The sequence below is a fragment of the Homo sapiens genome, chromosome 7 (assembly GCF_000001405.40).
Source record: "Homo sapiens chromosome 7, GRCh38.p14 Primary Assembly".
Lineage (NCBI taxonomy): Eukaryota > Metazoa > Chordata > Mammalia > Primates > Hominidae > Homo > Homo sapiens.
This window is the reverse complement of record NC_000007.14, coordinates 152,250,740-152,275,652: the sequence shown is the minus strand read 5'-3', so window position 1 is coordinate 152,275,652 and position 24,913 is coordinate 152,250,740. Positions and strand designations below refer to the sequence as shown.

The window sequence follows — 24,913 nt, the reverse complement described above, 5'->3', positions numbered from 1 at the left end:
TATAAAAAATTACCTGTTTTGTAAAAGCTGGTTATTACACTTTATCAATGAAGAAAAATATTTATTTTCTGTGTTTCTAATGCATTAATACCCTTGAGTGCCAAAATAGCACTGAAATGTTATTCTGTATACTTATAATATTATATAAAATTAAAGTGTCACAACAGTAATTACTGTTTATGAGTTATTTAGAAGCTTCTCCTGCTTCAGCCTCCCAAGTAGCTGGGACTACAGGCGCCCGCCACCACGTCTGGCTAATTTTTTGTATTTTTAGTAGAGATGGAGTTTCACTGTGTTAGCCAGGATGGTCTCGATCTCCTGACCTCGTGATCCACCCGCCTTGGCCTTCCAAAGTGCCGGGATTACAGGTGTGAGCCACCCGGCCCAGCCAAATTTTTGTATCTCTTTCTTTTCTTCTTTCTGATTCAGCCCTCAGGAGTCACTTAGCTTTGTTATGTTGATTCAGTGCAGTAGACTGATGACAGTGAGGAAGAGTTTGATAGTATGTGATATACAGATTTACACATAAAACATTGAAAACAATTATAATTTTAACTACTGTAGTCCCTGGTTAATTAGCAGAATATAAAGTCAGTGTAGTAACATGTGAAGATATCCACAGTAATGTTAGCAGGGTCCAACTGTCTGTGTTACATGAGGCTCCAGTTATCTCAGCTAAGCTGTTTATGAGCCACACTCACAAAAAAGATCACCAAAAGTTAAGTCTTTTTGGTATATGTATAGGAACACCTTTCTATTAGGGCCTGTTTCAAGCAGCATTTTTGGTGCTTTGGATACAAAGATAGTATGGTGCCTCAATTGAAGGATCTTGGACTAGGATGAGGAAAAGATAAACTGATCATGTAATGGCATAAGCAAGTAAGTACCATGTAATGGTGTAAACAAAAATTTATGTTAGATAGTCATTTCCCACAGAGAGATGTCATACTGTATAGTACAGGGCCCATCAAACTCTCTTCAAAGAAAATGATGCTCAAAGTGGACTTGGGAGAATGAGGAAGAGTTTGTGAATCATTCTAAGGGAAAACTGAATAAGTAAATGCAACATTTTACATAATTTCTTCTGACTTCTTATGTGTTCACTTGCCCTAGACTGCCCCTCTTGTTTGGGGCTTATTTCTGTGCGTTTTACCACTTGCAAGATAATGGAGGCAGGTTGAAATGGGAAAGATACCAGATGACTAATTTTTTTTCGCCCACATTTCCATCTTTTGTTAAGAAATTTGAAGTTGATTGCTACATTGAAGTATGTAGTTTTGTGTTTTTTTCTGTGAGTCTTTAACCATTTGTGTCCCTGTTAACTTACAATTGATGAGTTTATTTTGTATTTATTTTTAGGCAGGGTAAAAAATAGTAATATGTCTCATAAATAAAATATATGTTCCTATTACTAGTTTTGGTGGGATTTAAAAACTTTATAATAATCCTCAATATAGAAACCTGCCCTTTTAACCATATTACTATTTGCTTTAAAAAAAAATCTTTAGGTTTTGTTTCAAAAATGCTTCAAAATTTATTTTTGAAAATATAAGGAATGAAATTCTAACTTTCTAATTTGAATGGAAGGATGAGTTGGTAGCACACGAAGCGCTAAATTGAGTAATGTAGATTTTATTATTTTTAACGAATCCTTTGTTTAATATTTTGCAGGTTCAATTTGTTTTACTTGTGATATACAGAGAGTTTTTTATACCTTCCCAGCTTATATTTGAATATTCCTTTTCAAGGTTTTATAAAGAGATTTCTCTCCTTTACCCCTTTCAGCGATGTGCATTTTGTAAGCACCTTGGAGCCACTATCAAATGCTGTGAAGAGAAATGTACCCAGATGTATCATTATCCTTGTGCTGCAGGAGCCGGCACCTTTCAGGATTTCAGTCACATCTTCCTGCTTTGTCCAGAACACATTGACCAAGCTCCTGAAAGATGTAAGTTTACTACGGATAGACTTTTAAACTTCAACCAATGTATTTACTGAAAATAACAAATGTTGTAAATTCCCTGAGTGTTATTCTACTTGTATTAAAAGGTAATAATACATAATCTTTAAAATCTGAGGGATCGTTGCCAGGGATCGCTGGGGAGGGAAATGTTATCAGTGGTTTCATTGAAATTAAATCCAAAAAGTTATTTCCTCAGAAAAATCAAATAAAGTTTGCATGGTTTTTATTCTTAAAACATTTTAAAAACCACTGTAGAAAGATGTAAATAGGGACTATGCAGTATTTCTGATTTATACTATAAAATAATTTATTAAAAAGTCAATCAACACTAAAAAGCCATCCAGTTGAAGAATTAGAAGACAGTTCACTCAGGTGTTATTTCAGGATTTACGTTAATAAGAACACCAAAGACTTCTGAAATTCTTAGAAATTGTGTTTCCCTGATAGGTATAATAGAAATCTCTGCTAGTACCTTTTCATGATTCATCTATCTTAGTCTTCTGTAATCTGCAGTTGTGCTGTTTTTCTTTTCCAAATAGTATTTTATAATTCAATGAAAATGTTTAAATGCGTGAAATTTACATTATACAGGAAATTATAACTCTTTACTATTGTATCATTAAATAGAGATCTCTCCTTTTTCTTACTATGTGTTTTCCCTATGAGCATATATGTTTTGGGATCTTTTTTCTCCTAGTCTATTGAATTTCCAATCTCATTATGAAACCTCCATGATATTTTATTCAATCTTTTTTATGTCACCTCTTAGTTACCTAATGTTAGCTTTTATCTGTTCCTTAGCAATGTTAATAAAAGCTTTTTTCCTATCTTCTCCAGGTCTGTGAAACGTAAGTATAGCTACCCCAGGCTTAAACTAATCTCAAATACAGTTAGTCTACATGATCATTACCCTTTTCTTTGTTGAGTACCATAATTTCATTTTCCATTAAAATTATTTTGTGTCCACATATGTAATCATATCACCATTAGTAACCTAGTGTACAAATTATAGGTAAGGCAAACTAGAATTTTAAATTATATTTAGGCTAATAAGGGATTTAAAGTTTTAAAATGCGTTAGATTGTACACTCTTCAATCTGGAAGAGAAGAACTTCATGCACTGCAACTGTTACGGCTACTATTTATGTACTGAGTTACTTCAGCAAGTGCATAAACTGGCAGTTATCAGAGTGGATTATATTCTGGGTGGCATAATAAATATACTTTGTCATCTCAATAAAACAATTTTGTGTGTATATAGGAATCTGAATTTTATTCAGCCTTTTGTAGTTAATCATGCTTTAGACCTCAGCAAACAACATGCAAACTTTTACAAGAATGTTGTTGTAGTGTTAGAATATTTTATTACTTAATGGCAGTGCTACTTTCTACTGAAAACTGTGTTCTAACAGTGTATACCTTCAGTTACATGTTAGCAATCATAAATCAGTTTGTAAAATAATAAATACTGAGGTGAGATAATATGCTGTTGTTGATCATGTATATAATGAAAGGTTTATGGCAACATAAAGCTAAAAGATACACTAAAATTATGAGTACTCTGCCTTTTTCCAAAATAGACTTATGGAGACTCATAAAAATACATGAGCAATAGGATAAAACTAAAGTAAGGAAATTTGGCAATGGAAAATTTAGATAGGATAAATATGAAGGTAATAGAGAGACCCCCCCCAAAAATATATAACTCCAGACGTAACCACAAATTTGGCCCCATACCTTTTCAGCAGTCAATACAAAGAAGGAAATATGAGCCCTTAATCTGATTCTTACTATTTATAACAAGACGTCACTTGATATAATGATATAATAATAACAAGACATCACTTGATACAATGCAATGAAAAATTATCTTAAAGTAGCCACCTTGCAGTAGAAAAATATCAGTTTCATAGGGCTGTTTCTTATAGCAGCCTTCAAACTAAGTCGGTGGTGTAAAATCAAGGCCTAAATGACTAAATTAGATTTCTTTGGGGTTTTTTTTTTTTTTTTTTTTTTGAGATGGAGTCTCGCACTGTCACTCTGGCTGGAATGCAGTGGCATGGCCTTGGCTCACTGCAAACTCCGCCTTCCAGGTTCATGCGATTTCTCCTGCCTCAGCCTCCCAAGTAGCTGGGATTACAGGCGCATACCATCACACCCGGCTAATTTTTTGTATTTTTAGTAGAGACAGGGTTTCACTGTGTTGGCTAGATTCGTCTCGAACTCCTGACCTCGTGATCTGCCCGTCTCAGCCTCCCAAAGTGCTGGGATACAGAGGTGTGAGCCATCGTGCCCGGCCTCCTTGGGGATCTTAAGCAGTGCATTCTAACTACACAGCGTTCTGACCCATCTGTTAAGACGATCATAATCTTGGATTAAGTACCAAGGATATAATTTAAAGAATATTGCAGATAGGATGTTTTGTCACCTTTTTAACATGTTTTATAAATATTTTTTCCTATCCTAATTGTGTGTCATGGCAGAAGTTAATTTTTATGCTTTTAAAATGATACTGTCTTAAATCATAGTGTTATTATGAGGGTTAAATGAAAACAATGAATGGAATTCACATAACATTGTGCCTTGTATGTATTAATTGCTTTAAAAAGGGTAGTTATTTTACCTCCTATCTAAGGATTAAGTTATGAGAATGATAATACATATTGAGTATATGTATTTTCTGTTGCTTCCTAAGGGGCAGAGCAGTAGCTGTGATAGTTGACTGAGTTAGGAGTAAGGTTGACATCTTTTTATAAAAGTTGAGAAATTTAACAAAAGCATGCATCTCATTATAAAGAAATTCACTAAAGAGAGTATCTGTGAAGAAGGCCAAGATTTTCTTCAGGAAACACTTTTAGGGTGCTCTGTCATAGGTAAATGGCTGGTCATTGTTGCAACATTATTTTCATGATGATACAAGGATACATTAACCTTGTCTGGAAATTTTACCCTAAAAATCCATCTAGTAGATACAACCAGATATACTTCCTGAATAGGAAAACTGAATGGCACAAAGCCAATCATGCAAGATAAGAGGAAAGAACATTCCAGGGAGAGGGAACAGACCACTACACAGACCTTGAGGAATGGATTTGGCATGATTCATGAACAGGCAGCATGTCATTTTACTTGGAGCATAGTAGCCTACTAGGTGGGTAGTAGAGACATCATCAAGGCGAACAAAGGCTAGATCATGTAGGCCTTGTAAGCAAGGGAAGGAGTTTGGGTTCTATTCGGTCTGCAATGAGAAGTCTTTGCAAGGTTTAAACATGGAAATGCTACATATCCTAATTCACCCCCTGTTCCTCAATGTATTTACTCATCATTTAGCTTTAATTCCTTTTACTTCACTTAAGCTTTAACTCCAGCCTCTTTTCTTTGGTTATCTTTGTATTTCTTGACATTAAGTCCTGTTGCTTTTCTTTTACCCTAAATTCTGTCAGTCCTCTGACCTTTCTTATCTACCTGCCAATGATACGGTCTAGCCTCTTTGGATGACATCCATGATTTATTTTTTCTTCCCAGAGATTCTCTTTTATAGACAAATCACTCAGCACAGTGTCCTGCCAGTGATGAAAATTGGCAGATGATAGGGTGTGATGGAAATTAGAAAGCAATGCTGATTTGGTCCTTCTTAAATTCACACTGTATGACAGCTATTTTGACTTTTGTTGCTGTTCACCAATGCTTTTATTCTTATGTGTTGTCTGGATTTTCTTAAGTAATAGTTTCATCAGGTTTAAGGATCTGTGATAAGCTCTGTTCTAATTTAAGCTCAATGTTTTTGTCTTTTTTATTTATCTCTTCTCTTTTTACGGCTGTCTTTTAGGAAATGACCTTCTCTAAAGATGATCATTTTGTTTCCTCTCACTTTTCTCCTGCCATAAGAACCTTGCTCCCTTTACTTCATTTAGCTTCATCTTATGCCACTGTTGGCATTTCATGTCTACTTTTGTGTATACTCAAATACTCATCACTTTCATTGATCAGTAGTAAAGTTTGCTGAGGAGTCAATTTGATTAGTAGTCAAGAGCCTGATCTTAGAATCCAAATAGACCTGGAATTTACTCCTCTGCCCTTTTAAATTATCTTTAGTTATAGCCTGTCTTTGCTTTTTCAACTGTTTAAAGAAAAATTTCTTAGTTGATTATTGCTTTAAACTTAGTGTCTCTGGCTTACAGACATGTGTGTCTAAATATTCATATTTAATTTCTGTCATGACACCAAAGCTATCCAGTAGTATCGATAATCTTGTACATGACCTCCAAAAGGTTGTTTCAGTATTCCCACACATCTTCTCCCTGACTGGGAGGGTTGGAACCAACCTCATTTCTTTGTGTAGTGCTTTTAAAAATTATTGTGTTTCACATAAGGCATATTAAGTGTTTTTGCACCAGATGTATGTATTACATGGATGTTTTTCTTTGACTAATTTATTACCAATGATCCATAGTAATCAAAGAACACAGCAAGGTTATCAGTAAGGAATTGGTGGAAATCATCATAGTCTAAAAAGTGATTTTTGTGACAATGACAGTTGTCTTGTTGCAGAGCGAACTTTGTTGTGTATAACAGTGCTGTGCAGTATAAATACAATGTGAGCAACATAAGTAATTTTTCTAGTGGGTATGTTAAAAATTTGAGTAAAAGGAAACATTGGGAATAATTGTAGTAAATTTTATTTAATTCAGTAATCCAAAATAGTAATATCTCAAATTTTGAGATACTTTTTCTCCTGTTAAGATTTTGGAATCCAGTGTGCATTTTATGCTTACTGCACACCTCGATTTGAACTAATTACATTTCACTTGTTTGGAAACCACATGTCGCTAGTAGCTACCATGGCAACTTGAAGTGTCAGGGGAGCAAACTCTAGAAAGTTTCACAGAAGCATTTTAGTGTTCCTAGGAAAGTATAATAGAAAAATGAATTGTTTATCTGATAATTAGTTTATTATTTCCCCCAATTTTTAAAAGTTTTACGGTGAGCAAAAAGATCAATTTTTAAATGTACATATTTTGAAAGATAAATACTGGTACTGTCTTAAGAAACATAACATCCCAGTTATGTCCTTTCTATCAAAAATGAACTAATTTATGATGCTTCCATTGTTAGATTAATGATTTATTTTAAATGCCTATCACTTAAAGAGCCATTTAAAAGTGATTTTAGCAGTAAGTCCTTCACTTAAAATATGTTCAATAAGACTTGATTCATGTTAGGCAGTTGGGGATACAAAGTTAAAAAAGTTAAGGCCCCTGTCCTTCAAGGATTCACAGAGTTGTGCTGTAATTAATTGATTATGTAACAGAAGTTTCTTGTAAGCATATGGGTAAAAGTAATATTCAACAACTAAAGGTATTTGGGTGTGGTAATAGGTATTCAGGAAATAATGTGCAGAGTTTTTTTTTGAGACAGGGTCTCACTCTGTCCCCCAGGCTGGAGTGCAGTGGCGCAAACTCCAGTCACAGCAGCCTCCACCTCCCGAGTTCAAGCGATTCTCCTGCCTCAGCCTCCTGAGTAGCTGGGACTACAGGCATGTGCCACCACACCCTGCTAATTTTGTATTTTTAGTAGAGATGGGGTTTCACCATGTTGGCCCGGCTGGTCTCGAGCTCCTGACCTCAAGTGATCCATCTGCTTTGGCCTCCCAGAGTGCTGGGATTACAGGCGTGAGTGTCTGTGCCCAGCCATGAGCAGAGTTTTGAAGGCTGGGAGCACAGCAGAAAAACAAAATTTCAAGCAGAGGGAACAGAATGTGTAAAAGCACACAGACATGAATAGCATGTTATGTGAGGTGCATGGCAGACAACCCACCATGACCACGAGATAGTGAGTGGTTCTGAGATTCAGTTGGAAAGGGAGATAAGGGCCTTTTTGCCTCATACTTGAAAATTCTGATTTTCTTTTAGGTGAAAAATGAGGTATTGGTGGAGTTTTAATTTATACAGAGGTTAACAATTAGATTTACATTTTTGAAAGATTGTTCTGGATGTGCAGAAAATGATTTAGACAGGATGTCAGAACCATAAGTAGAGATGATTTGATGCAGAAGATACTGCAGTTAGCGAGACAGAGTATTAGGTAGGTACAAAGGTAATTGCAGTCTTCGCCATTAAAAGTAATGTCAAAAACTGCAGTTACTTTTGCACCAACCTAATATGATAGACTAAACTATAAACATACAAGGAAGAATGATGTGTAGGAAGTTTAATACATAAGAATTGGGATCTGGCTGGATGTGTTGGGTCAGGGCTGAGTTCAGAGTGAACAGTGATACTAAGGTTTCTGCCTTTATCTATTCTTGAGAAAAATGGATGATGTTTCGGGTTTTTAAAAAAGTTTCACTTTAGAGCAGTTGAGATTGAGTGTTTTTAGAACATCTGGCTATTGAGATCCAGTAAGACTTGAAGAATAAAGGTTTGGGGTTTATGAAAGAATTCTAGGGCCAATAATACAGATTTAGGAATCATGGTGGCATTTTATGGCATGAGAGTTGATGTGATCACAAAGGGAAACTATGGGGGATTAGGAAAGAAGGAAAAGGATGAAATCCTAAGAAACTCCAGCATTTAGAAAGATTGTATAGGTACAAAAGCCAACAAAGGAGGATGAGATGAAAGTAAGGGAAAACTAAGGAGAAATTAGGAGAGAGTTGCCATGATAGAAACTAAGGAAAGGGGCGTTTTAATGTGGGAGTGGCTAGCAATGCAAATGCTACAAAGTGCAAAAAGCCAAAGACTAAAAAGTAACAATCGGGTTTCCTATGGGCATTGGCAACCTCACTAATGTAGCTTCAGATGAGTATTAGGTGCTAAGCCAGCCTTCATGAAGTACGTCAGAGGTCCAGCCAGCGTCCACATTTTGAAGCCTGTTTTTGTACTGCCCTCAAGCGAGGAATTATTTTTACATTTTTAAAAGAGTGCAAATAAAAACAAAAAGTCTGACTTTTTGTCAGAGACTGCTATGGCTCACAAAGCCTAAAATATTTACTATCTGGCCCTTTTCAGGAAAAGTTTGCAGACTCCGGTACAAATAAAAGAAATATATTTTTACTCTGTTTCAAGATGCTTGACTGGAAAAGAAAGAACGTGTGAGTCAGAGAGAAATTGATAGGATTGACCAAACCTTCAAAATGGAAAAAAGGCTGAGTGTGGTAGCTCACACCTGTAATCCCAGCACTTTGGGAGGTTGAGGCAGGAGGATTGCTTGAGCTCAGGAGTTTGAGACCAGCCTGGGCAATGTGGCGAAACACCGTCTCTACTGAAAATATAAAAATTAGATGGGCATGGTGGCACACGCCTGTAAGCCCAGCTACTGGGGAGGCTGAGGCATGAGAATCCCTTGAACCTGGGAGGCGGAGGTTACAGTAAGCCGAGATCGTGCCATTGCACTCTAGCCTAGGTGACAGAGTGAAACTCTGTCTCAAAAAAAAAGGAAAAAAAAAAGGTTCATATACTTTGTGATACTTGTTAAATACAGGCATATTTATATATATTATCTAAGGTTGGTATGATAGGCTTGACTGGAAAAGAAAGAACGTATGAGTCAGAATAGTAGATAGGAATGATCAAACCTTCAAAAAATGAAAAGATTCATATACTTTGTGATACTTGTTATATACAGGCATATTTTTTATACATTATCTAAGATTGGTATGATTTTAGAATACATTATTTTCCTTATTTTGCAGTATGCATAAGTTTAACTGTATATTTGGCAGGGCAGTTTATCCTTATATTTTCTGTTTTATATGGTAAAAGAACTGTTAGTACATTTTCTTTTAATCCACATTTAGGGATGGATGATGTCCATAATTATGTGGATTTTAATGCTTTTACAACTAGAAATTAATATAGATGAATATATAATTAGTATATTAAGTAATGTGTTTGTGTATGAATATGTAGCTTCTGTCTTTAATGTTCTTCCACATAAGGCATTTTCCAGTAATTAAAAAAAAGCCCTTATATGATTTGAATAGTCTGTTTATGCTTAAGAAGCATCTTAGTCTAATTGATATTAATGTTTCTTAATTTTGTCTCTTATCTGATTTTGTAATTTCAAAATATATTTAACATTCAAAGAAAATGTTTATGTTACACTGCAAAGCATTTCTTAATTTGTATTTTCCTTGTTTGGTTCTTTCCAGTAAGCATATATTGAGCATTAATTAGGTATCCAGCATTATCATTGGCATTAGGAATAGAAAATTAAAGAAGACCTGCTTATGGTCTCAAGTAGATATAGCCACAAATAATTGCAAAACTATACGATTAAATTTAATGTGGTTACATTTAGATTAAATACCCTACAGTGTTTTTATTGGTACCTCTTTCTGATTAGATGACAATTCAATGTGAATAACTTCAAATGTCTGAAAGGTTCATGATGCAAATCCTTTCAAATGATTTTACTGTATAGTCAGAAAAAATTTAAATTCTTATACAACAATTTCATTGTTTCACTGTTAATTATAGCGAAGGAAGATGCAAACTGTGCAGTGTGCGACAGCCCGGGAGACCTCTTAGATCAGTTCTTTTGTACTACTTGTGGTCAGCACTATCATGGAATGTGCCTGGATATAGCGGTTACTCCATTAAAACGTGCAGGTTGGCAATGTCCTGAGTGCAAAGTGTGCCAGAACTGCAAGTAAGTTTTCATTTCAATTCAAAGCTGTGTATTGGGTTTAAGAGGGACCCTATTACTAGGTGCTAAAGGTTTGTGTAATATAATAGAGGTTGTTCATATTTTAGCTATATTCATTCAGTGACTTCATCATACTTAAAAAAATTACTGGATATTATAACATTTATCCAGTATATATCCATAATATAATTTGTTATTATATTATAATATAAATAACATTTATATAATTTTGAAAGAAGTCTAAACAAAACTGATTTTAATCATTTAAATTGCTCTGGTCGTCTAAAGAGCTAATTTAAATTTGCCAACAATTTAAAAAATAAGCGATATTAACAATTTAAAACAAACAGAAGAATAAAGTAGTTTTTCTTAAGGGGTACTGGGGAGGAGATTTAATAGGATTTAAACGTCTAACTACAGAAGTAGAAGAATTAGAGTTGAGCCAAAAAATCAGTCATGTGTTTGAATTTCCATTCCAGGAAGGACAATTTCTACTATTATTTTAATGTACATCTGCATCTCTCTAAAAGCCACCTTGAGTAGATCCTGGTCAGCATAATTCCAAAACGAAATATGTGGCATTTACAAATTTGTAAGGGGGTTATATTTTCCTATGGTATTTCATCTCTTGGTCATTTCTCCAGTCTTTTCTGTGATTTCCGCTTGCACCCCCATGATTCTAATGAGCATGATAATTTGGGGATGTTACCAGTATCTTCATTTACAGGCTGAGAATTTTTGTTGTAACCAGCAAGAATTATGCCCAACTGCCATGATCAGTCTGTTTTTATTATTTAGTTTGATAAGAAATAAACGTCAGTATCTTAGAGTTACGTGACATAAATAGGACTATGTACCTCCATATTTTGGTAAAAATTAGATAAAATATTCAGTAAACATTTATTCGATACCTTATATCTGCGCTCAGTTTCTTGGGAAGGATTAAAAGAACTTGAAGGAAGAGTACTTGTCCTCCAAGATCTTTCCACGTAGCTGAGGAGATAAAACGTGACTTTTTATGGAGAGGCTGAACTGAATAATAATTGGAGGCTAACTGACCCATCTTCCTGTTGACATCTATTTATCCCCCAGATTTCATTCAGAGATTCCTCTCTCAGCTCTTCTTGCTTTCCCTGTTGTTTCTTTTCCCCTCCTCTTGAATTTAAAATCATAGTATCTGAAAGTGATTATAGTCAAAAATCTCAACAGAGATAAAGCTGTAGGACAGGGGCCCAATCTTTGGGGGCAGAAGAGTGTTTAGAGAAAGATTTTAGGTTTTCAACTATAATTCTTAATAATTATGACAAGGTTCGTATTTTGAAATAATTATTCAGCATTTAATTGCTTAATAGACATTCTAAGCACTTGAACCCGCATTACCTTTAATTCTCGCAGTAATCTTTATTATTCCCATTTTATACCTGGAACTCAGAGAGCTTTAGTCTAAGTTGTTTAGTGACACAGCTAGAAAACAGCAGCCTGAATACAAATAGAGATCTGATGCCAAATTTGATCCTCTTTACGTTATACGACAGTGTCTTTTCAATTCGCTGTGCCAAGATTTGTTCCTTTCCACACAGTAGCACCTATCAGTTATAGCACCTTCCTCTCAAAAATTCTATTTTAAAAGTAAAGATCAGAGGCTATTCATCTTGCCTTAACCCTTCCTCCTTTGCAGGAATCCTAAAATGGCTAGAGCAAGTTAACCATAGGTGAGCATTGAGTAAAGATCACCATTTAGGAGGTAATCCTTATGGCAGGGTTACCTCTGTTACTATCTGCAGAGACAAAACAGATACTGAGGTATTTATGAACTGTGCAGTTCCCAGGACTGATTATTTTCATGATTACTTATGTTACAAAACATAAGTTTAAAGATAAGGCATCATTAATGCTATCTTATTTTTTAGACAATCGGGAGAAGATAGCAAGATGCTAGTGTGTGATACGTGTGACAAAGGGTATCATACTTTTTGTCTTCAACCAGTTATGAAATCAGTACCAACCAATGGCTGGAAATGCAAAGTAAGTTGTTTATTTATTTATTTTTTTAAATCCTCTCTATGTTTTATATGGAGACCAGACAAATCGGATACCTATTCAAATCTGTACATCATCACCATCAGCTTTTTAAAAACAGCTTTATTGACATATAACTGACATATAATAAACTGTACACTCTTCAAGATAATGAACATAGTCATCACCCTCAAAAGTTTCCTGGTGCCTCTTGGCTTGCTTTGTGGCTGTTCAAACCCAAACTCTGTCTTCCTAGTCTGCTTTTTCACTATAGATTAGTATTCACTTCCTAGAATTTTTAATAAAAGCTTCATATACTATATACTCGTTTTTGGTCTGGCTTCTTTAACTCAGTGTAATTATTTTGAAATTCATCCATATTGCTGCACAGATCAGTAGTGATTCTTTTTTATTACTGAGTGCTGGAGATACCACAATTTGTGTATTGAATCACCTGTTGGTGAACATTTGGGTCCTTCAAAATTTTGAGCTATTACAAAAAATGCCGATGAGCTCATTAACTAACTTCCTACCTCACTTGGCTTCTGCCCCTTCAGGGTGAGGCGTTCAGAGCCGGGTTGGGGGCAGTGGGGTAGTGGAGATAGCCCTTGGAATCCAAGGTGCGGTTTAGCTTTTAAGCTTAGTCTTCCTGGGCTGCTGGTGTTGCGAGGTTGAGGGATGGAGATGACCCTCAGGTGCTGCATGGGCCTGGAGCGGGTTTTTCCTGGAGCTGGAGAGGGCATGATGGCCCGTGTGCGGGAGTGGAAGGCACAGCATTGTCATTGCTCTTCTTGGAACTGCTTTTTCTAGTGAGGAGGTGGAGGGCCTGGGAAAGGAGGGTGATGTGGCCAGAACCCCAGGTCCCCAGCTGGGGGAGGAGGTGGAGCAGACGCAGGGAGATTCTGTACCTGCACCCTGTCCTCGCCAGTGAGGTTTGGCACCTAGAACTGCAAGCAGTATTACCAGGTTCTTTTGTGGTCTTCAGCAAGTCCTATTAGGCATCTGCCTGAGTGGTGGGGGTTGAGGGGAGGGGCTTTCTCTCCTGGGGGGAAAAAGAGCTGCTGGGTAACTGTGCTCAGCTGTGGCTACCTGGGAAGTGGGGTCTGAGGGCTGAAGGATTGTGATGAACTCTGGCCTGCTTCCTCAGGTAGTTCAGATTCCTTCTCTTGCTGAATGACTTATCATTGGAAAGGAAAAACTCTGCTATTTGACTGATTTGTATATTTACACTCTTATCTTCACTCAGTTCCTCTACTTGCCTTTTTATTTTTAATATGAAGTTGAATTTGTAATTCATTTTCTTTCCTTTCCTAAGGAAAAAGGACATTTAAGACTATAAGTTTACCTTCGGCTGTAGCTTTGGCTGAAGCCAAATTTATTGTATTTGTAACTTTATGTATGTATATACCTTACCGAATATCTTTATCTTTTTTTTAAGTTGTGCTGAAGTATGTTAATTTATGCTTTCATTTCATTTAATCAGATAATTTAACTAAGGTAGGTTTTTTAAAATAAATGTGTTGATACTTGTAGTGACTTTTTAAAGGTGTAGCATTTGTGTTTATTAATTTCATTTAGTTAGATGAAGTCCTTTTACCTTATTTTTTGACTTGTTGATTCAACAAGTTGTTACAATTGACCACTATTAATTGTTCCTATCAATTTATCATATTTTTAAACAAATACCTTGTGGCTGTTATTTAGCAAGTAGGTCACGCCAGTGTTAATATATTGTGCTTTTTACCAGTATGAAATTGTTCTTTATTCTATGTAATGTGTTTTTTGTTGAGGGATCAGGAAGGGCAGGTATTTTGCTTTGCCTGACACTATGGCCACGTAGGGTGTTAGTTTAACAGTTGAATGGTTATCTTTTCACATCTTTTTATTTTGGATTCTTTTGTGTTATAAAAATGTTATCTTTTGAAAAGCTTAATAGAGGTAACTGTTTGGATTGATGGTTGTAATTGAAATGCTTGGCTGTTTTGAGGCAAAATTGTTCTTATAATTCCTTTCTACTTTTCTCTTCTTTTACTTCCTGCAATGATTTATAATTCAGAATCTCATTTTGTGAATGTAAATGATTATAAATGTTAAAGATATAAAATTTCTCCCATTCCCCACTGAAAATGAAGTTTTTATTCCCCTTTTCTCTGTTTGATTTGATTAACCTAGATTATAAACCTTGTCACAATTTTCTTTCAAAAATATATTTCCTCTGTTAATTCCAACTTTACCCTCAATCTTTCGGAGTCTTGGTTATGTTCCTTTAAAAATAATTATAAATTTTCTGAAACCCTACATGTCTGAAAGAGACTGTTCCCTTTAGGCTATAAGAACTTGGCACAGTATAATGTTTCATATTACAAATTTTTCTTTCTTATACTCTGAAAACATTTTCTTCAGTTTTTTCAGTTTATGCTGTCACAAGAAAAATCTTAACTTTAAAAAATTTAATCATAATCCTTTTTTTCTTCCTGAAAGCTTTGGGAGATGTGTGAGTCCCCATCCCCCACGCCACCCCAGCACCTTTTTAAAAAAATATATTTACTTAAAAAATTACCTTCTTTACACTCTCTAATAATATCTAGTAACTACTGGATAATTTTTGTTCTTGCTCTTGATCTTCTTTATTAGGGTTTTCATTATCTTGAGAACTGGTAGAGAATTCTGGGTGTCTTTCTCAGCTTGTTCTGTCTCCCCTTTGGTGTGCTTCTTTCTAATTTGCTCTTTGTAATCTGCTATTCTCTTTTGAGAGTGACAGAATTACATAATTTCTGGGAATACTATTGGATACTTAATCTTTTTATCCTGTTCTATGAAGGGACTATAGTGTGGTGGTTCAAAGCTTATGCTGTGGAGTCAAAATGCAGTTTTTTCAGTTACTAAATTGATGATCTTTGGCTACCTGTTTAACTTCCCTAAGTCAGTGTATAGAAGGTTAACGGTACTTACCTCACAGGGATGTTGGATTTAATGAAGTGGTATCTATAAAGTGCCCAGCACAATGCCTAACACAAAGTAAGTACAGAAATAGTTACCAGAGTTTTTCATGGATTGAAAGGTTTGTCCTTTGAACCATTTGAAGAGTGATCATCTTTCTCTGCTGTTAAATTCTTCTGTAGTTCTCTCTGTAGTCTTGAGTCATAATTTGCTCATTTGTTTGCATTTAACTTTTGAGTGTTTACTGTGTGTGAAACTGTAGTGAAGGCTGGAGATGTTGGGACAAATCAGTGTGCCCCCACAGGGCTGTCAGTCTAGTTTGGGGCTGCTCCCTGGTGAGCTGGAGTGGGGGTAATCTTTTCAGGATCTTTATTGTAAACCAGTCATTGTCAGATAGGTTTCTTTTTCCTATTTTTATCTCAAGAATGTCTGTTTGTTGGTATGTTATGTGTTTTTAGAAAGTTTTTACTTGAAAATAAGTTCAAACTCTAAAAGTTGGAGAAAATAAAAATAATACCCATGTCGCATTTACTTAGATTTATCAGTTGTTAGCATTTCATTGTCACTGGGCATGCCCTCTCTTGCTTTCTCTGTGTGTGTGTGTGTGTGTGTGTGTGTGTGTGTGTGTGTGTGTGCGCGTGTGTGTGTCTGTGTTTTTGTCTCTATTCCCCCTAACCCCCTACTATTTGAGGGTTAATTACATACGTTGTGCCTTTTTACCACCATTTCAGTATGTATTTCTTAATAGTAGGAATATTCTTAAAAAATCACAATCCTGCTATCAACTTCCTAAACTTACATCAATGTAGTATGTTTATCTAATGTACTAGCCATATTCCAGTTATGTCATTTGATCTTATGTCCTTCATAACCTACCCCTTCCTCCAAGTAGGTTCTAGGATTTAGTTTTTGTCATTGGTATTTTTGAAGAATAGAGTTCTTCTCGATATACTTGTTTTTTTCTTTTTTTCAAACAAATTTCCCCATTTTGTCTTTGATATCCCCTTATAATTAGATGAGAGGCATGCATTATTGGCCAGAATACTGCAAAGTACTGATCCATCCTCAGGGTATCACAGCTGGAAGCACACATTATTCCACTTTCCCTCATGGGAATCACCTGGTCAGGCTGTTGTCCAATTTCTTTTCCCCCTCCTTTGTATCTAATAAAGCAGTATGTAAGGACACTTTAAGACCATGCAAATATCTTGCTTTTCCTCAGAATTTCCTTCTAGATTTGAAAAACTTACTCCCTAGGCTGGGTGTGGTGGCTCATGCCTATAATCTTAGCACTTTGGGAGGCTGAAGCGGGTGGATCAGTTGAGGTCAGGAGTTCGAGATCAGCCTGGCCAACATGGTGAAACCCTGTCTGTAATAAAAATACAAAAATTAGCCAGGCATGATAGTGGGTGCCATGTAATCCCAGCTACTCAGGATGCCGAGACAGGAGAATTGCTTGAACCCGGGAGGCAGAGGTTGCAGTGAGCCGAACTCATGCTACTACACTCCAGCCTGGGTGACAGAGATAGACTCTGTCTCAAAAACAACAACAACAACAACAGCAACAACAACAACAACAACAAACTTACTGCCTGATGATGCCATTTTAACCTGCTTTGTTTTGGTTGCAAATGATGCATTTCCAGCTCTAGCACTCCCACCGCATTTACCAGTTAGCCCTCTGCTTTCTTTTGTAAGCAAGAACACTTCTTTCACATGTTAAACTTACTTATTAATACTGACTCATGAGCTCCTATTATCTTCAATCATTTACAACTCATTACCTAATTATTTTTTGGCTGAAATAGTCCCATACTTGCTGTCAGTTGCTCCTTCAAGCTGGCGCTGGTGTTGTGCCCTCACCACTTACTTGAACACTTCATACTTTTTGGTGTAACAAGATGTTACAAGCTCATCTTATACCTCCTGTGCCCCAGCCCTGGAATAAGTCCATTGTTAAATAAGTAACCCAGATTCCTTTAGTGGGGAATGGGTGCTGGGTGTGCTCATTGCTACTGAAGGGTGTTTGCTTCTTCATCCTTTCAGCAGGTGGTGTCAGGAAATACATGCGTGTGTATACACTTACAGAAGTTTGTCCAACCCATGACCCGCAGGCTACATGTGGTCCAGGATGGCTTTGAATGTGGCCCAACAGAAATTCATAAAATTTCTTAAAACATTATGAGGTGTTTTTTTTGTGTGTGTGTGTGTGTGTGCGTGTGTGTGTAGCTCATCGGCTATCGTTAGTGTTAGTGTATCTTGTGTGTGGCCCAAGACAATTCTTCTTCTTTCAGTGTGGTCCAGGGAAGCCAAAACATTGAACACCCCTACACTTAACGTATATACACATAAATATTCATATACATATGCATAACTTAGAAATAATGAATTTACACCAGTACCTCCAGTTCTTGTCCTTCTCCACTGAATTCTTTGCCTTCTCATTCTTGCATGTCTGTTCTTCTACAATAAAAATTCTGGGTTGTAGCAACATCAGCACATTTATTCAGTTGCTCAATCTAAAAAGCAAGTCTGCTTCAGTTTGCTCTCAGTAATAGATTTTATTCCCCTTTCTTTTCTTAGTGATTTAATTTTTTAAATATAGAAGATATTAGTATACTTTCAAAACTCAATACTATATGAAGTTTTACTCAGAATTGTCACTGCCTCTTGTTTATTATTTATACTCCATTTCTCCCAACCTCTTGGAAGTAACTAACTTCATTGTTTTCTGTTTTAAACCTCCTGTTATTTTTCGTCTAAGAATAAGAAGATATATTGCTCTTATTTTCAGTGAAGGTAGCATGTTGTGTATGTTCTTTTGCATGTTGCTTTTTTCGTGTAATAAAATCTGGAAATCACTTCCAGGCAAGTTAGGCAAGTTCAAGAGATCTCATTCTCCTTTTAAACAGCTGCATAGCACTCCATTGTGTATCTGTGCTATGGGTTACTCAACCAATGGCCTGTGCTTTGGTATTTCAGTAGTTTACGATATTTTGCATTATAAATGATTTTACACTCCCTAGCTTTGTGCATGTGTGTTTTTGAATTCTCAGGGACAAATCTGTAGGGTAAATTCCTAGAAGTAGGATTATTGCCTCAGGAGTGTACACATATGTAGCTTTGTTAGATACTGTCAGATTCCCTTTCTTGGGGCTTATGGTACTTTGCATTGCCACCAGAGATGTGTGAGAGAACTTTTCTTACGTCTTTGCTAACAGGATGACTTGTTCAGCTTTTGAATGTTTGTCTGTCTTCTGGGCGAAAAGTGGTGTATCAATGTAGTTTTAATTTTTGTTTATCCTGAGTGAAGTTGATCGTTTTTTCATGTGTTTAAGGGTCAGTTTTAATTTCTTCTCGTGAATTGTCTGTTCATGTGTTTTGCCTGTTATTGAAGATTTTGGCATTTTCCCCTAAATTTAAGAGTTCTTTATAAGTTAGGGATGTAAGCTTTTATCTGTGTTACATGATGCAGATACTTTCTGCCAGCTTATTTGTTCTTGTTTTTTTTGCTTATTTGTGTGAGACAGTGTCTCACTCCATCACCCCGGCCATAGTACAGTGGTATGGTCATAGTTCACTGTAGCCTTGACCTGGGCTCAAGCAGTCTTCCTGCCTCAGCCTCCCGAGTTAGCTAGGAGTTATGTGTACCACCAAGCCCAGCTAATTTTTTACTTTTGTAGAGACAGGGTCTCACTATGTTGTCCAGGCTGTATTATGTGTCTTTTGACTTTGTTTTTATTATTTTTTTTTTGCCATGCAAAAGTTTCTTTCTTATGGAGTTAGATTTATTAATCTTCTTTTGCTTCTGGATTTTTGAGTCATATTCAGAAAGCCTTTCCCTACACTGAGGGTATAGAGGAGTTCATATTTTCTGCTAGGATTTGCAGTTTTTATGTTTATTTTATTTTTGAGATAGAGTTTCACTCTGTCGCTCAGGCTGGAGTGCAGTGGCTCAATCTTGGGTCATTGCAACCTCCCCCTCGCGGGTTCAAGTGATTCTCATGTCTTAGCTCCCCCAAGTAGCTGGGATTACAGGCATGCGCCACCACGCCCAGCTAATTTTTGTATTTTTAGTAGAGATAGGGTTTTGCCATGTTGGCCAGGCTGGTGTTGAACTCCTGGCCTCAATTGATCTGCCTGCCTCGGCCTCCCAAAGTGCTGGGATTGCAGTTGTGAGCCACCATGTATGGCTTGCATTGTTTTATTTTTTACATTTAAATCTCTGATCTATTTGGAGTTGATGTTTGTGTATGATGTGAGTATCTTTTTCCAACTGGCTATTCAGTTTTCTAAAAACCATTCATTAAAAAGACTGTCTTTGCCCTAGTGACTTGAGATTCCAGACTACAATGTTAGATTTGATTGAACTTATATCTGGAACCTCTTTTCCATTCCATCGATCTGTCTATTCATTCACCAGTACGACACTGTTTTTGTTATAGAGCCTTTGTAGTATCTGGTAATGTTGGGCCCCTTCAGAACTTATCCATTTCACAGGTTTCTTATCTGTGCTTGTGTATTTGTTTTTCTGTATAAACTTTAGGATCACCATATGTAGCCCCAATAAAAACCTCATTGGAATTTTTATTGGAATCACATTTAATTTATTGAGTGTCTGGGTGCAGTGGCTCACACCTGTAATCCCAGCACTTTGGGAGGCCAAGGCAGGGGTGTTGCTTGAGCTCAGGAGTTTGAGACAAACCTGGGCAATATGGTGAAACTGCCTCTCTACAAATACAAAAAAATTAGCCAGGTGTAGTGGCACACGCCTATAGTCCCAGTTACTCAGAAGGCTGAGGTGAGAGGATCACTTGAGCCCAGGAGTTCGAGGCTGCAGTGAGCCATGATCATGCTACTGTATTCCAGCCTGGGCTACAGAGCAAGACCCTGTTTCCAAAACACACACACACACACACACACATATATATATATGTATATATATATATATATATATATATATATATATATAAGTGAGAGTTGATTGACATCTTGATTTTAAGACATCCTAACCAAGAACAAGGGATGTCTTTACAAGTTTGTTAAAGTCTAGTTTTGTGTCTTTTAGGAGTGTTTTATAATTTTCTTCATACTGATTTTCAACATTTAAGCTTATTCTTGAATATTTATTTTTCTGCTGTTATAAATGGGGTTTTCTTACCATCCTTTAACTCGTTATTTGTGTGTGTGAATTCTATTGCCTTTTGCATGCTAATTTTATATCCTAGTACTTTGTTGAATTCTTTTATTGAATTTTTGAACAATTTTCTAGGATGTTCCAACTCTGTTTACAAATTAAGAGTTTTGTTTCTTCTTTTCCTGGTCTTATGTTTCTGTTTTCATTTGTTTCAATGCTTGCATTGGCTCCAGAACCATGTTAAAATAGTAGTGGAGATAATAGGCACCCTTGCTTTTTCCTGTCCTTAGTGGGAATGCCTCTCGGGCTCTCCCATAAAATAAGATGTTGCCTTTAGAATTGAAGTATTTATGTTGGTCACATTAGAGAAATACCCATCCATTTTTACTTTCTCAAGAGTTATTAGTAATGGGTTTTGATTCTTCCCAAAGACTTCTTTCTTTAATCATCTGTTGCATTGAAATAATTTTTTCTCCTCAGACCTTTTAATTTGTTAAACTTTATTAATGGATTTTTCTAATATTAAATATCTTTGAATTTCTTGTATAAACTCCACCTGGGCATAGTTATTATTTTCTTAATGTGGTATTAGAGTCTGTTTGATAGTATTTTATTTAGGATTGTTTTTCTTTTCTCCTTCTCATTAGATAAAGGATAATACATTCTTTTAAAAAATATATGTGTATGTATTTCAAAAGATGGGGTCTCTGTGTGTTGCCCAGGCTGAATTCTACCTCCTAGGCTCAAGAGATCCTTCTGCCTCAGCCTCTCAAGTAGATGACACCACAGTTCTGTGCCACCGTGCCCAGCTATTTAGGATTTTTGCATCAGTGTTGTTAAGTGCATTCATTTTAATCTTTAAGACTAGCTGATCTATGGTTCCTGGTAGTTTCTCTTTTTAAGTGAGCATCCCTTTCATATCAACCTGGTAGCACAGAAAGATAAAGTTCCCTTTTATTGATATTTTAGATTCAAAATTTGGGGTGGGTAATGAGAGCCCCACAATGTATTAACCTTACACCCAGGGATACCCAGGGTTTTAAGGCTGACTAGCTCACAGGCACAGAAGTAGTTTTGGCTGGCCTCTGGTTGGCCTTTTACTTCATAAACAATTCTAATTTGGTAAGGATAGGACACTCTCTCTATTCTAAAAACATGAAGGGCCATCATTGGACTTTTGATGTGGAGCAATATATTTTCACATTTTCAGACACCAAGTCACATGGCGTTGACCGTGCTCTGTGTTTCCCCACCCACCATGGCAGTCTCACATTGTTGCCCAGGCTTGAGTGTAGTGGCGTGAGCTCCCTGCAGCCTCAAACTCCTAGGCTCAAGCAATTCTCCTGCCTCAGCTTCCCAAGTAGCAGGGACTACAGGTGTGCACCACCATGGCTAATTAAATTTTTTTTTTTTTTTTTTTTTTTTTTTTTGTAGAGAAAGAGGTGTTTTGCCTTCTTGCCCAGATTGGTCTCGGATCCCTGGCTTCATGCGATCCTCCCATCTTGGCCTCCCAAAGTGCTGGGATTACTGGCATCAACCATCACACCAGGCTGGCCATGCTATTGTTTTAGAGTTGAGCAGACTTACTCCACAAAAATTACTTCCTGCTCCTAGCATATGTTTCTTTTTTTGAATTTTGAGTTGCTGTCTTTTTGGTTTTATCTCTTCCACCTATATGTTTTCCTGGATATCCCCATTCCCTTATTTAAATTTTCCTGGAGATTTTAGTGCAGATTTTGTGAGGCCACATCAGACATTGAAAACAGCTTTTTAAAAGGTGTATACCCTAAGGCCAGGCGCAGTGGCTCACACCTGTAATCCCAGCACTTTGGGAGGCTGAGGCAGGCAGATCACTTGAGGTCAGGAGTTGAAGATGAGCCTGGCCAACATGGTGAAACCCTGTGTCTTTAGTAAACACAAAAATTAGCTGGGTGTGGTGGCACACACCTGTAGTCCCAGCTACTCAGGAGGCTGAGGCAGGAGAGAATCACTTGAACCCAGGAGGCAGAGGTTGCAGTGAGCCAAGATTGCGCCACTGCACTCCAGCCTGGGCAACAGAGTAAGAGTCCATCTCAAAAAAAAAAAGCATGTACCCTAAATTAGTGTCATGAAAATAAAAGCTTAATGTATAATCCACAAATGATTCATGACTTTTTAAAGGTTTACATCAGAACTACAATTACAAATGCATAACAAACTGTTTTTGTTTTTATTTTTCCTGGTGTTTAGAATTGCAGAATATGTATAGAGTGTGGCACACGGTCTAGTTCTCAGTGGCACCACAATTGCCTGATATGTGACAATTGTTACCAACAGCAGGATAACTTATGTCCCTTCTGTGGGAAGTGTTATCATCCAGAATTGCAGAAAGACATGCTTCATTGTAATATGTGCAAAAGGTAAGAAGATAGTTATTCTATTCAGTTGTTTTGTCGATTGTTTTATTCATGTGGTCATTTGCTCTACCATCTTACAGCTTCTAAGTTTTTATCACTCTAGCAATTCCATCAGTACTGATTGCTGTTATAGATGGAATTAAATGATGTTTTTGAGTCTCAAAGGCATAAGGAAGTAAATGGGCAAAAGATAAGACCAGACCACATCAGAAATGAGCACTAATAGGGAAAAGTAAAGAGAAAATAGCTTAAAAATGTCAAGTAAAAATACGGCAGCATCTCTAGTGACATGCACAAATGTGCTTTAAAAAACCTTTGTCAGTTAGCAACTCCTCTAACCTCTCTCCTCTCATACTTAATTAACTGTTTTCATATCCAGCTTTTCAGCAATGCCTTCTCTTTACCTAGATAATAACTCGATGTTAGAAATTTTTATTTAAGTATACTTATCACTGCAGGTGGGTTCACCTAGAGTGTGACAAACCAACAGATCATGAACTGGATACTCAGCTCAAAGAAGAGTATATCTGCATGTATTGTAAACACCTGGGAGCTGAGATGGATCGTTTACAGCCAGGTGAGGAAGTGGAGATAGCTGAGCTCACTACAGGTAAATTTGAGAATGATTTTTTTTTAAATTTTTTGTTTTTGTAATGTTGTGCCATTGTATCACCAATATATTGCTTTAATCAGGAAGAGAGGATCCTGTATTCCAGATTCCATCTTGTTCTCAGTTTCTCAACCTTTAAATGTATTTGTTATCTTGGTCATCTCTGAATCTGATGGCTAAAATCTAATCTAACTTAAGATAGTTTTTTTTAGTATTTGAATTCCGGGTCTAGTGTGCTTTCCTTCACTTGTGTTCTTCAGGCCGACAGTGGAAGTTCCCCAGTCTTTGGGTTTGCTTAGTTTGTTCTTTATAATGTGGGTTATTTTTCTCTAAGCATGTTGTAGTTTTGTAATGTCCTTCTTAAGTTAATTATCACCTTTTCAGCCCAAGATTTTGTTCAGGTATGGAATATTTTTAGTAGTATCCTACTGTTAAAAACATGAGTCTTAGAGAGTAAAGGAAATAGAACTGCTCGCCAGATTGTTTTTCATTTTCATCATTATGAGTGGCAGCTTTTGTAAAACTTCTCTTTATCATCTTCAAGGATAACTAAACATCTTAATTACTAACCTTTCATTTCCAGAATGCCATCAGTATTTAGTTTTGAAATATCCTTTTAAAATAATGTGCCAGTTACCTTTTAAAAAAAATTGTTTTAGAGATGGGTTCTCACTATGTTGGCCTGGTTGGTCTTGAACTCCTGGCTTCAAGCGTTCCTTCCGTCTTGGCCTCCCAAAGTGTTAGGATTACAGGCATGAACTACCACGGTTGGCCCACCTTTTGATGCATTATAATTTTCATGTTTTTTAAAAATGTAAATATACATGTGGTTCAACAGAGAAAAATCTGAAGAAAAACTTAAAGCATTTTTGGTGATGATTTGCCCTTACTCATACAAAATCATAATTGTTGACTTAATGAACAAAGAAAAAAACTCATTCTGAGCTAAAGAATTAATAATTTTTTGTTAAGATTATAACAATGAAATGGAAGTTGAAGGCCCTGAAGATCAAATGGTATTCTCAGAGCAGGCAGCTAATAAAGATGTCAACGGTCAGGAGTCCACTCCTGGAATTGTTCCAGATGGTAAGAATGTTTAATGGATATACTCTGTTTTTGAAGAAAATGTGTATATACAATAAATATGTGAATATTGACTAAAACTTCAGTAAAAGCCAAGATGCAGTCACTTAGGAAGA

General features: G+C 36.4%; 1 protein-coding gene across 1 annotated transcript in view, besides 1 other annotated feature; it reads left to right on the top strand.

The window, feature by feature from the left end:
* KMT2C (lysine methyltransferase 2C) overlaps positions 1–24,913 on the top strand; it is a 301,079-nt gene that overhangs the window by 160,351 nt on the left and 115,815 nt on the right. The window contains exons 7-12 of the mRNA NM_170606.3: positions 1,786–1,948; positions 10,444–10,615; positions 12,523–12,637; positions 22,938–23,107; positions 23,563–23,714; positions 24,687–24,800. Of these exons, the coding sequence (NP_733751.2) occupies positions 1,786–1,948; positions 10,444–10,615; positions 12,523–12,637; positions 22,938–23,107; positions 23,563–23,714; positions 24,687–24,800 (886 nt within the window). The remainder of the gene's footprint in view (positions 1–1,785; positions 1,949–10,443; positions 10,616–12,522; positions 12,638–22,937; positions 23,108–23,562; positions 23,715–24,686; positions 24,801–24,913) is intronic.
* Positions 10,335–10,629: a silencer, noted in NCBI's record as "tiled region #15588; K562 Repressive non-DNase unmatched - State 15:Elon". NCBI's record gives its function as "represses a minimal TATA promoter and a strong SV40 promoter by Sharpr-MPRA in K562 cells {active_cell/tissue: K562}" and the evidence as "EXISTENCE:reporter gene assay evidence [ECO:0000049][PMID:27701403]".